The sequence below is a fragment of the Homo sapiens genome, chromosome 9 (genome assembly GCF_000001405.40).
Source record: "Homo sapiens chromosome 9, GRCh38.p14 Primary Assembly".
In the NCBI taxonomy this organism is placed as follows: domain Eukaryota; kingdom Metazoa; phylum Chordata; class Mammalia; order Primates; family Hominidae; genus Homo; species Homo sapiens.
In genome coordinates, this window is record NC_000009.12 from 5,788,137 (window position 1) to 5,802,239 (window position 14,103).

Below are 14,103 nucleotides of genomic sequence, written 5' to 3' on the forward strand. Positions count from 1 at the left end.
ATAAAACTAAACAAAAACACACCCTCAGCCTAACTTAAAGACAGAGAATACCCACATTTGAAATAACCGTAAATTTTTAAATCTCAGGGAGCAATCTCACACACTTGTGCCCACCCTGCTTCTGCTGCAAGGCTTTGTGGCAAATGCAGACCAAGTCAGTCCACCCTAAATCTGAAAATACTACTATAGTGTCCAGTCAAAGAAAGGTTTACAGGGCAGGGACTTAAAAGTATATTATTGAAGTAACAGTCTTCAAAACCAAAGCTTCTCAGGGAAAAATAAAAAAGAAGGAAGAGGAATCCTTTGGCATTTGGGTGGTGAAGATGAAAAGAAGCAAAAGAAAATTCAGGGTCCTGCAAGAAAAATCCAGTCAAAAAAGTTGAAAGAGATAAATATTATTCATCCACACCAACACAAACTTCCTAAAGAATCTGGACTTTCTTACACTGACAGAAAAGGAAGCCATTGCTAGAAATCTTACAAAACAGCACAAAAATGAGGAAGAAAAGGATAAACAGATCCATACAGTTATTACCAAAAAAAAGTATCAGAAAATTCCTCTTGGAAAAAAAAAGAAATAACCATGAAGCAGGAGAAAATGTTATAATCACACTCCAACTACAAATATATCCATACAAACATTTGGGGATATTTAAAACCCCACCATGAATCAGAAATTCTTACTAGAAGGAAGAATTAAAAGGACCGACTAGACTCAGAAAAGAAATGGAGGAAAAAGGCAAAATTACCTTAGAAATGAAGACAATTACAAGATGCCCAACAGAATAGATTCAAAGGAAAATTTAATAACAGTCATAAAGACAGGAGAAATACTAAGAAAATTAAAATGGGAAAAAGCAAAGTAAAAAAGGTTAGCGATAGTGGTAAAAATGGAAGGCAGGTCAGAAAAAATATTCATTTGGTACCCCAGAAGAAAACCAAACAACGAAACAGAACTAATATTTAAAACTGTAATCCAAGAAAGCATTCCAGAAACAAAAAGAGAGCTGAATCTACACATTGAAAGAGACTACCAGGCACCTTAGAATATTAACACAGAACAAACAACTTCAAGACATAACCTAGTAAAACTATTAGATTTCAAAGAAAAAAAAAATCTTCAAGGTCTTCAATAAAAAGTTTGATCAAATAACTTACAAAAAAAATTACATTGGTATCAGACCCCAAAAACAATATATAAAACAAGGCAACAATGGAACAACAATTTTTAAAAACTCAATATTGGAAAACGTGAACCAAAGATTTTATGTCCACCAACTTGTCCTTCAACTATCAGGATTACAGAAAACCAATTTTAACCATACAGAAACAGCACTCATGAGCCCTTCTTCAGAAACAGTCTAGAGAATAAGCTTCATCCAACCAACAGATAACTGTACAAACTTCAGCAAAAGAACTTTTTCCTGAGACAGGGTCTTGCTCTATCACCTAGGTTCGAGTGCAGTGGTGTGAACACAGCCCACTGCTCTACCACCTAGGCTGGAATGCAGTGGCATGAACAGCCCACTGCTCTGTCACCTAGGGTCGAGTGCAGTGGCGTGAACACAGCAGCCCACTGCTCTATCGCCTAGGCTGGAGTCCAGTGGCATGAACACAGCCCACTGCAGCCTTGACTTCCTTGGCTTGAGCAATCCTATTGCCTCAGCCTCCCAAGTAGCTGGGACTACAGATGCATGCTACAAACCTGGCCTTTTTTTTTTTTTTTTGGTAGAGATGGGGTCTCCCCGTGTTGCCCAGGCTGGTCTCGAGCTCCTGGGCTCAAGCCATCCTCCTGCCTCAACCTCCCAAAGTACCCCCAAAGTGAGCCACCACACCTGGCCAAAAGAACTTATTATACTGAGGATTTTAATATATCCAAATGTATTACAAAAACACTAAGGTGAAGTTATAAGACAAATATACAAATGTTACATGTTGTAATAAAAATTGGATGGAAAATGGGAGAGAGAAAGAGGAAAGTAGAATAAGCATGGCTGTTGTATGGGTTAATTGGTGGGAGTTAAAACAATACCTTTTTTTTTTTTTTTTTTTTTTTCCCCTGAGACGGAGTCTCGTTCTGTGGCCCAGGCTGGAGCGCAGTGGCGCAATTTCAGCTCACTGCAACCTCTGCCTCCCGGGTTCAAGTAAAATAATAGAGAATTAAAACAAATATAAACATTCATAAATGCCAGAAAATAAATGTTTTAAAGAGCATAGAAGACACCTCATAGAAAAAAGGAATATAACAAATAAAGCAACACATGTAATTATAAAATACTGTGACAACTGAGGCCAAATGTATGAGTAATAAAAATTAATGTAAATAAACCTAACTTACCCACTAAAAGAAAAACAATTTCAACTTGGCTTACAAAGCCAAACCCAATCACATACTGTATGTTTCCTGAATACAGAGAGATACAGAAAGGGTAAATAAAGGTATGAACAAAGGTATTTCAGGCAAGTGGAAATTGTTTAAAAGTCCTATCTTATTTCTCAAAACACAGAATTCAAGGCAAAGGCATTAAATATAAAAGGGGCACTTTTTAATACTGAAAGTCACAATTCACAATGAAGACATAAAATTGTGAATATCTATGCATCAGATAACATAGCAACCACTTTATAAAGAAAACTACAGGAGGCGTATAGAAGATATATACATATAAACACACAAATAAGAGACTCCAATATTCCACTCAGTACAAGACACATCAATTGAGCTTTGTGGGGTGATGGAAATGTTTTATATCTTCATAGAGATGAGGGTTACATGGGTATATATCTGCTTTTACCAAAACTAACTGAACTGTGTAAGATCTTTACATTTCATTGTATGTAAATTAGGCCTTGAAAAAAATAAAGTAGGCAAGGGGAAAAGTGATATTTAAAAATACTTTTCACTCATGAAAGTCCCAGACAACTTTCTATCAGGGGAAGAGTACTCAGAAAAAGTATAGCGTGAACAGCTGCAGGAACAGTTGAAGTGAACTTCCTATATTAGCATTCTCCAGGGAAACCAACAGGATGTGTACAGAGAGAAAGAGAGAGAGAGACAGAGAGAGTGATTGAGATTTATTTTAAGGAACTGGCTTACATGATTGTTGAGGCTGGCAAGTCCAAAATCTGAAGGATAGGCAGGCAGGCTGAAGAAAAAAGTCACAGTATGAGACTGAAGGCAGTCTGCTAGCAGAATTCCCCATTCCCTCTCCTTGGGGAAGGTCAGTCTTTTTCTCAAGGCCTTCACTGACGGGATGAGGCTCACTTGCATTATGGAGGGCAATCTGCTTTACTCGAAGTCCAGTGATTTGCATGTTAATCTTACCCAGAAAATATTTTCACAGAAACATCTAGGATAGCATTTGACCAGATACCTGGGTGCTGTGGTCTACCCAAGTTGACACATAAAATAACCATCATACTTCCCAAAAAGACATTAGAAAGGGAGAGACCATCCTGGTTTGCTCACTTTTTAAAACACCTCACAAGCAAACAAACTCTTTACAGCTTTTGAAGATGAGAAAATGTCATATGTCTTGACATTTCTCCTCCTCCTTTCTCAAGCATCTGTCTCCGTACTAAGCCCAAGTAGAATGCTTTAAAAGAAAAACAGTTGCTAAATTTAACAATTCAACACATGTCTTGAGTACCCATCAAGTGCCAGTGATTATACTGGATGCCAAGAATACAGAGATAAATGAAAACCCATTCATGTCTGCCTCCCTTTAATTCTAAAGGAAAACAAAGACATAAACTACATAATCGTGATACAAGATGGTCAGTGTTACAACAGATATACACAAAGGGAGGAAGAAGTGGGAGGATGGCAGTTGCTCACTTAATTGGAAATGATGGGAGAGGAGGGCAGAGAAATCTTCATATTTTGCCAAGAAGAGAAGGGTAGAGTCTGGGTAGGAGGTAGTACCAAGAAGAGTATCACTCATACCAGAAGTAACAGTGTGTGTTGGGTGCAAATAAGGGTTGGATGTGGCTATGCAGTGCAAAGGGAGTGCTGAAAAGAATCCCGAAATATACACAAAGTCCAGACTACCGAAGACCTAACATGCTTTGCCAAGGAATTTGAACTTACTCTCCAGGCAACAGGAAATCCATCAAAAGTTTTTTAATAGGGAAGTAGACATAATGAAATCGATATTTGAAAGATAAACTGGCAGCACCATAAAGAATATCCTAGAAAGAAGTTTTACAGGCCAAAACATAAGTTAAGAAGCTGGAAGACCTAACTGCTAGTTTTAAAGATGGAAAAGGGAATAAAATGTACCAAAAAAGATAAAGTCATAATGCCAGGCCAAATGCTCCTGGATCTGACAATGAACCAATATCTGACACTAAAAGTTTTTCAGTAAATCTTCTTAAAAATCATAACCAGTCTCAACTTCTTTGAGAAACAATGTAAGGCTCCTAAATTGCTGGTCAATTTAAGACTTAAACTTTAGGGCAAGAAAAACCACATGCAACTTATTAAAAGGTTTAAGAAGTGAAGGAGCAGGAAAAAAAGATGGTCATGTGACTTACCTATTGTTTAAAAGGTCAACTTGATAGAATCCCAGGGAGGGATGAATTGAGAATATTATGTTATAAGGTATCTGCACTACCATGAAGCAGTACAGTGTTAACTGAAGACAGACATACTGCAAGCTCCATAGCAACCACTAAAATAAGTATAATTGATATGGTAAGAATATAAAAGAATAGAACAATATACAATGCTCAATTAAAACCTGAGAAGGCAAGTATAATACAGGTCAGAAACTCAAGATTTTCATATAACAAAAGAAAGCACACTAGAGAGGGAATGAGGTAAAATAAAAACTCATTTTTCCTATTCTTAATTGATCTAACAGATAACAGTTTTTCAAAATAATAGCAACAATGTATGTGGTTATGTATACTTATATGTGTGCATTGTGTGTACATACTGCATATGTGCACACACGCTTCTGTATAAGAGAGATAAATGCTAGCAATGTTACAAGAGACTGGAAGGAGAAATTAGGATTATTTTGTTATTAAGTTATTCATAATCCCTGTGATGCAGAATAGTATTATTTAAAAGTGGGCTTGCATAGCTGTAAATGTGTACTGCAAACGACAGGGCAGCCATTAAAAAAGGTTAAAAAAAAAATAGTAGTGTAACTGACATGCTAAGAAAGGAGAGAAAACCACATCATATAAAATGTCCAATTAAAACTACTAAAGGCAGAAAAAGAGTGGAAGACAAAAACAGGAAGAAAAAACAAGGGCAACAAATAGAAAATAGTTAACTAATATGGTAGCTATTAATTCAACTATATTAATAATCACTTTGAATGTCAATGTCTAAACATACAAATTAAAAGACAGAGCGTCAGGGTGGATCAAAAAACAAGACCCCACTATGTGTTGTCTACAGAAAACCCATTTTAACTATGAAGGCACATAAATTAAGAGTCAGTGGATGGAGAACATTATACCATGCTAACACTAATCAAAAGAAAGTAGGAGAGCAATATTAATTTTAGACAAAGCTGACTTTTAAAGCAAGGAAAATTAGCAGCGATAAAGAGGGGCAATGCATAATGATAAAGGGTCAGTTCTCTAAGAAGACATAACAATCTTTAATTTGTATGTAGCTAACAATAAAGTGTCAAAATAGTTGGCAAACTCATACAACTAAAGGAGAAAGACAAATTCACAATTACAGTCAGAGACTTCAACACCCCTCCATCACTGAAAAATTCAATAGGCAGAAAATCAGTAAAAATATAATTGAACTGAACATCATCATCAATCGATTAGATCTAAGTGACATTCATAAAGCCTTCTTCCAACAGCAACAGTATGCACATTATTTTCAAGCATACTGCTTGAAATGGAACATTCATCAAGAGAGACCACATCCTGTATCATAAAGCACACCTTAACAGATTTAGAATAGAATTCATACAAAGTATGCTCTCAGACCACAATGAAATTAAACTAGAAATCAATTATCAGAAAAATAGCTGAAAAATCAAATCATTTGGAGATTAAAGAACACACTTCTACATAACAAATGGGTCAAAAAAGAAGTCTCAAGAAAAAATTTTTAAATACTTGAAACTAAATTAAAATGAAAATTCAACTTAAAATTTGTGGCATGGAACATAAGCAGTGCTTAGAAGGAAACTTATAGCAATGAATGCATATATTAGAAAAGATGATTTAAAATCAATAATCTAAGCTTCCACCTTAATAAACTAAAAAAGGAAGAACAAATTAAATCCAAAGTAAACAGAAGAAATAACTAGAACAGAACTCAATAGAGAAAACCAACTATAATCAAAAGCTAGTTCTTAGAAAAGATCAATAAAATTGATAACCCTTCAGCCAGGCAGAGAAAAAAAGAAAAGATGTAAATTACTAATATGAGAAATGAAAGAGGGGACATCATTATAGATCCCATGAACATTAAAAGGATAATTAAGGAATATTATAGACAAATTATATTTCCATAAATCTGATAACCTAGATAAAATGAACCAATTCTTTAAAAGACACAATCTGCCAAAGTTCACACCATGAGAAACTGACAACCTGAACAGGCCTGTATCTATTAAAGAGTGAATCAATAATTAATAACCTTCCAACACAGAAAAAGAACCTACCAAGCCTACGGGGGTTCATAGGTGAATTCTACCAAACATTTAAGGAAGGAATTATACTAATTCTCTACAAAGCTTTTCAGAAGACAGAAGCAGAGGGAATACTTCTTAACCCATCCTATGAGTCCAGCATTATCCTAATACCAAAGCTAGACAACAACAATACAAGAAAACTATAAACCAGTATCTCTCATGAACATAGATGCAAAAATCCTTAACAAAATATTAGTAAATCAAATCAACGATGCATAAAAGGTTTTATACACCATAACCAAGTAGGATTTACCTCAGGTATGCAAAGCAGTCCAATACTTGAAAATCAATTAATGTCATCTATTACATCAAAAGGCTAAGAAAGAAAAATCACATGCCCATATCAATATATGCAGGAAAAGCAACTGACAAAATCCAAGACCTATTCATGATAAAAACTCTCAGTAAGCTAGGAATAGAGGGAACTTCCTCAGTCTCATAAAAAACATCTACCAAAAAACGTATAGCTAACAACATACTCAGTGGTAAGAAACCAGAAGCTTGCCTAGATCAGGAACAAGGCAAAGATGTCCCCTCTCACAACGCCTTGTCAAAATCAAACTAGAAGTCCCAGATAATGTAACAAGTCAAGAAGTGGAAATAAAAATTATAGATATTAGGAAGGAGGAAATAAAACTGTCTGCAGATGATAAGATTGTCTATTCATAGAATCTTAAAAGAATAGGCTGGGCGCGGTGGCTCACGCCTGTAATCCCAGCACTTTGAGAGGCTGAGGCAGGCGGATCACAAGGTCAGGAGTTTGAGACCAGCCTGGCCAACGTGGTGAAACCCTGTCTCTACTAAAATTACAAAAATTAGCCAGGTGTGGTGGCGGGTGCCTGTATTCCCAGCTACTTGGGAGGCTGAGGCGGGAGAATCACTTGAACCCAGGAGGCAGAGGTTGCCGTGAGCCGAGATCGTACCACTGCACTCCAGCCTAGGTGACAGAGTGAGACTGTCTCAAAAAAGAAAAAGAAAAAGAAAAGAAAATCTTCTTAAAGAATAAACCAAACAAAAACAAAAACAAAAACAAAAACAAATCTCCTAGATCTAATAAGTGATTATAGCAAGGCTGCAGGATATGAGGGTAATAATCTGAAACTCAGTTGCTTTCCTGTAGACCATCAATGAACAATACCATTTATTAATACATTAGCACCCCCAAAAATAACTACTTAAAAATAAATCTAACAAAATATATATAAGGATTCTATAAGGAAAACTACAGAACTGATGAAAGAAATCAAACAAGATAAAAATAAATGGAGGGATATTCCAACACGGATAGGAAAAGCCATTATTGTTAAAATATCATTTCTTCCCACCTTGATCTACAGACTCAATACAATCCCAATCAGAACTCCAACAAGTTATTTTGTGAATATTGACAAACTGATTCTAAAGTTTACATGGAAAGGCAAAAGACAAAACACAATTCTGGAGAAGAAGAGTTGGAAGACTGATACTACCCAACTTCAAAACTTAACTATATAATTACAGTGATCATGACAGTTGTGGTATGGGCAAAAGAACAGAGAAATCAGTCAATGGAAAGAACAGTTTGGCAGTTTCTTACAAAGCTAAACATAGGCTTACCATATATAATATCCAGCAATCACACTCCTAAGCATTTACCCAAATGAGTTCAAAAACCTGCCCAGGAATCTTTATAGCAGCCTTATTCAAATATGGATAACTGCTGTACATCTACACAACGGACTATTCAGCAATAAAAAGAAATGGCCTATCAAGTCACAAAAAGATATGGAGGATCCCTTAAATGCATACTTCTAAGTGAAAGAAGTCAGTCGAAAAAGGCTACATACTCTGTGCTTCCAGCTATATGATACCTGGAAAAGGCAAAGCTACAGAGATAATAAAAAGACCAATGGTTGCTAAGGAGAGTGGGAAGAAAAGAGAGATAAATAGGTGAAGCACAGGGCATTTCTAGATGGTAAATCTATTCTGTATGATACTGTAATGGTAGATACATGGCATCACACATTTTTCAATACCCATAGAACTACACAACACGAAGAATGAACCCGAGTGGGAACAACAGGCTTCGATTAATAATAATATATCAGTGTTAAAACTGGTGCATCAGTTTTAACAAATGCACCATACTAATGCAAGACATTAATAGAGGAAAATCGGGGGGCAGGATATGAGAACTCTATAATTTCTACTTAATTTTTCTGTAAACTTAACATTGCTCCAAAAAATAAAAATAATTTTTATTTTTGAGACAGGGTCTTGCTCTGTCACCCAGGTTGGAATGCAGTGGTGCTATCAGCCTTGACCTCCTGGGCTCAAGTGATTCTCCCAGCTCAGCCTCTCAAGTTCTCAAGTAGCTAAGACTACAGGCATGCACCAACATGCCCAGCTAATTTTTTTTTTTTTAATTTTGTAGAGACGGGATGTCACTATGTTGCCCTGGCTGGTCTTGAACTCCTGGGCTCAAGCAATCCTCCTACCTCAGCCTCCTGAGTAGCAAGCATAAGCCACCATGCCTGGCCTATTAAATTTTTGTTAAGAAGTCATAACCAGCTTTGGCCGGGCGTGGTGGCTCATACCTGTAATCCCAGCACTTTGGGAGGCCGAGGCAGGCAGACCATGAGGTCAGGAGTTCAAGACCAGCCTGACCAACATGGTGAAACCCTGTCTCTACTAAAAATACAAAAATTAGCCAGGCATGGTGGCACACACCTGTAATCCCAAATACTCAGGAGGCTGAGGCAGGAGAATCACTTGAACCCAGGAGGCGGAGGTTGCAGTGAGCCGAGATCGTACCACTGCACTCTAGCCTGGGCGACAGAGCGAGACTCCATCTCAAAAAAAAAAAAAAAAGAAGTCATAACCAGCTTCAATTGATTTTAGAAACATCACAGGCTCTTCCTAAGTTGCTGGTTCCTGTGATATATCTGAGGGAAAAACATACATGCCACTTATTAACAAGTTTAAGAAATAAAGGAGGGGAGAAAAAACTATTATATGACTTACCTGTTGCTTCAAAAGTCAATTTTATAGAATCCCAAGGTGTCTGTTCTTTGGATATGAGTCGGAAATGAGGAGGATTTCTTGGAGAAACTTCTGGGGCAGGAAGATACCAGTTTTTCCTATTTAGAAAGGAAGCTTCAGTTTTAGGGTGCTTTATTATTTGATGGCTATCTGTAACTCACAGAACTGTTCAGCATATATGAACACATTTTTGGGTATGAAAATAAACTGACAGACATGATAAGCAATGCCAACTCCAACAAATTTAGGTTATTTTGTAATAAAACCTTCCCAATGTTAAGAACAAAGGAGTAACCTAGGTGATCTTGATTCCACCACCCATCCTATTTCTTCTCATCCAGTCCTTCACTGCCAAGCTATAAAATCTTCCCAGAGAAAACAATTTTTTTTTTTCTTTGAGAGACAGAGTTTTGCTGTTGTTGCCCAGGCTGGAGTGAAATGGCGCGATATCGGCTCACCGCAACCTCCACCTCCCGGGTTCAAGCAATTCCCCTGCCTCAGCCTCCCGAGTACCTGGGATTACAGGCATGCACCACCATGCCCGGCTAATTTTATATTTTTAGTAGAGACACGGTTTCTCCAGGTTTGTCAGGCTGGTCTCGAACTCCCGACCTCAGGTGATCCACCCGCCTCGGCCTCCCAAAGTGCTGGGATTACAGGCATGAGCCACCGTGCCCGGCCACAATTTTTGAGATAGATGCTTATTGGCTATTATATTAGTTAGAAGGGCCACCTTTTCTAACCACTCAGGTTTCTAGAGAAAAGATTTTTAAAATTTGAAAAAACAAAACTACTCTTCTGAGTGCTTTATTCCACTAAAAAAAAAAAAAAAGTTTCATAATGATAGAAAAAATAGTACAAACACCACTGAACTTGTATATTAAAGGATGGCAGTTTAAATGATAAGAGTACTGATATGGTGACAAGACTTGAGAACAAACTAACCTTAAGCAGAAAAATAATGAACCAACCTGATCAGAAAGTGCACTGGAAGATACCAAGGAAAACCACAAAGAGGTGCATTCTCCTCACAGTGAGCTCGGATACTATCATTGATCTCAGGAATGTGAGGGGTTATGTGAGAAATTCCAGTATAATCAAACCCATTGATCCATATTCCAGAGTCCCGTTTAACTGCATTTCCTTCCAAGTCATGGAATGTTCTAGTCATATGCTGAAAAAAAAAGACTAGTGAAAAAACTGTTTCAACTAGTACACCCACATTCCCACCCCAGATTACAAAAATGGAGTATGACAATACCAAGAAATGATGTGGATATGGAGCAAGTGAATAAGACACTGAGAGTTTCTAAGGTACTGCTAGCGTTCTTTATTTTAAACTGGAAAATAGATATATAGATTATTGTTTTATTGTATCTTCCAAATATATTTAGGATTCCTATAAAATGTTTTTGAAACTTACTATTTCAGACTTAAAAGACGTTAATGTTAGAGCTGCTTTTAGATAAGGATTTAAAACAAATACATCCTAAGCACATATATACATACACACTCATTTCCCTATTAGTGTTTTATGAAGCTAATTCATGTGCAGAGAAAAGTGGGAATTGCAGCTCACCACTAGATGACAGCCTTGTGCCTAACAGAATTCTATGAAAAGGCACCGTGCTCCATTTGAAATAACTTTATTCACGGCAGAAACCAGCCTGAAGAATACCAATCAGGAAAAAAACAAACAAAAAAAAACACTGCATAGGGCAGGAGCCGGCAAACTGCAGCCAACAGGGCAAACTGTCCACTGACTGTTTTTATATACGAACCATTATTTGAACATGGCCACACTCATTTGTTTGGGTATACTCTGTTGCTGCTTTCGCTCTGTTTCACTGCAACAGACTGTATTGCTGACAAAGCCCAAAATATTATCTTGTCCTTTACAGGAAAAGTTTGCCAACTTCTGGCACAGTGGAAGAGAACCCCCAAACAAATCAGAAAATGACTTTTTAAAAATAAAAATCCTGCTTTTCCTAAGTATTACTGACATAATTATAAAACTTAATACATCATGAAAAACACACTGAACCTCCTAAAAAAAAATCCGTTCTTCACTAAAGGTTTTACAAATTGTAAAATCTCACATAAAATTTATCACAGTGTCCTTCAGGACTATAACAAGGAATTGTTATTTGGCCCCTTTTCAAAACCTCCTAAGTGTTTTTAATTTTTTAAGTCCTTGAATAATTATCTAGGTATAATTCCTCTGGCATTTCTGTTTGGCTAGATTAGGTTAGATGTGACTCTTGCCCTTAAGGGTATATGTTATCTTGAAGCAGGATCTTTCACTTACAGAGTATAAAATACAAATAAGAATTATGCAAAATATACAATATGTTAGTATGTGTTCACAAACATGAGAAAGGGATGGGTATAAGGCATAAGATAATTTGTGTAGTATGAGAACTTTTAAAAACAATTTAGAAAAACTAACAATTTAGCCATCTCTAACAGAGATGACTAGAATTGAGGCTTACTGCTTTATAGTACCAGGTCTAAAAAATTTGAAGAAAAAGTTGAGATCTAAAATAAGTCCTCAAACTGGCCAGGTGTGGTGGCTCACACCTGTAATCCCAAGCACTTTGGGAGGCCGAGGTGGGTGGATCACCTGAGGTCAGGAATTCAAGAACAGCCTGGCCAACGTAGTGAAACCCTGTCTCCACTAAAAATACAAAAATTAGCCAGGCGTGGTGGCGAGCGCCTGTAATACCAGCTACTTGGGAGTCTGAGGCAGGAGAATCACTTGAACCGAGGGGGCAGAGGTTGCAGTGAGCCAAGATCGTTCCACTGCACTCCAGCCTGGGCAACAGACCAAGACTCCATTTTAAAAAAAGAGAAAAGAAAGTAAGTCCTAAAACTCACTTTATTAAACCCTTTCTAAGTTATAGTTTCACTATCACATATCACTTTGAATGTTACTTAAGATTAATTTTACTAGCACTTCTAAACATCAATTTTATTTTGCCAGTTGACAGTTTAGATTTTACTCAGCCTGTATACATTTTTACAATCTATATTTCTAAAAACTCATTATTCCATAATAAATATTTGCTCCTGTTTTTCCAAATAGATGCAGTTTTATAATTTGAATAGTAATAAAAACAAGCAAACATTTCCAATTCAGTCTCCTGGGAGATATATGTCTAGCTGATAAGAATGCCTCTTGACAGTCAGTCTTCTCCTCACTGCCTTACACACAAAAAAGGTGAGTATGACTAAATAGGTCAACAGCAGAAAAGTCAGCTGCGCTTGCTATTCACTACTGAAGCTCAAAACACACAGGGCTTCCTTTCCAGATCTCAAATACCTCATGCAAAACTGCTCACCTGAAGAAACACTCTCTTTGGCTTCGGATTAGCAGGATTGGAGCTATATGGAAAAAATGTTCCACTGCAAACAAGGAGGAATGTAATTGCACATACCAAAGTTAAAGTTAGCATGGTTTTTTTTGTGCTCTTGGCAAGGTAGATGAAGTTAATCTGAAACACAAACCACAAACACAGAAATATTACAAATTCATTCTAGTGGTGGAAAGGTGTTTTTAACTAACTTTATTTTTAACAGTATTACCTAACAGCCCCTGAAGAAAATTTATCAGCAGGTGCTAGCATACTCTAACATCTAGTAAACAAAGCACTAACTCTAGGAGATTTCCATTGCAGGTGAGAACCTAGAAAATGACAGATGCCTCCAATCTGCCATGATGGTGCCACCTTTTTGGCATGCAGCCAAAAACCAAGAGGGAAAAAGGAAACTCAGGACTGTCGCTGTCCTTAATGTGCGAAAAGAACAGAAATGTAGATGTAATGGATTATTCATTAAATAACCAGAGATAAGCTTTAAGCTTAGGCAGATCTGTTTGGACAAAACTCAAATTCCACTCATAATGCTTTAAAATATGTCAAAATACTAAATTCATCTCAACTGGCATAGAGATGTACCTTCAAGACTCTGCCAGTGGACCTGCATAAGAGGAAAAACTGCATTACAAAGTAATATTATCCCTCTAAGTGACAAATTAACCAATGCCAACACAATCAAAACAATAAATCTAGGCAGTAAATGTAAATGACTCAGTCTCAAGGTTGGCATCTAGAAAATCCTAAATATTTTCAATCGTAATGAAATCGCTGAACTAAAAACTGTAAAGGACACACACGACTCACAGAGTATGTCCACAGATCCCTTACAGGGTCTGAAGAAGCCATTTGGGGAAACTTTTATGTGAAATCTGAAATTGTTCTAAGAAGCCACATTTTAAATATTGTGAATACTGAGAGAAAGATGGACAGCGAGGGTGACACATTTTGTTTTGCTAGCTCAGCCTCAAGTCCTCAGGTACTCTGTCATATTTTTGTACTCAGTATACAAATGTGAGATGTGTGACCTA

The 14,103-nt window shown here is 36.9% G+C and overlaps 1 protein-coding gene across 6 annotated transcripts in view; it reads right to left on the reverse strand.

Moving 5' to 3' along the window:
* ERMP1 (endoplasmic reticulum metallopeptidase 1) overlaps positions 1 to 14,103 on the reverse strand; it is an 82,520-nt gene that overhangs the window by 3,565 nt on the left and 64,852 nt on the right. For 4 of the 6 annotated variants that reach the window (XM_017015139.3, XM_047423898.1, NM_001410952.1 and 1 more), the window contains 3 exons: positions 13,040 to 13,192; positions 10,670 to 10,872; positions 9,681 to 9,796 (listed from right to left, as the gene is read on the reverse strand). In XM_017015139.3, the coding sequence (XP_016870628.1) occupies positions 9,681 to 9,796; positions 10,670 to 10,872; positions 13,040 to 13,192 (472 nt within the window). Of the gene's footprint in view, positions 1 to 3,097; positions 3,147 to 9,680; positions 9,797 to 10,669; positions 10,873 to 13,039; positions 13,193 to 14,103 lie in introns of those variants that run through there. The other 2 variants (XM_047423897.1, XM_047423899.1) reach the window with 2 other exon arrangements.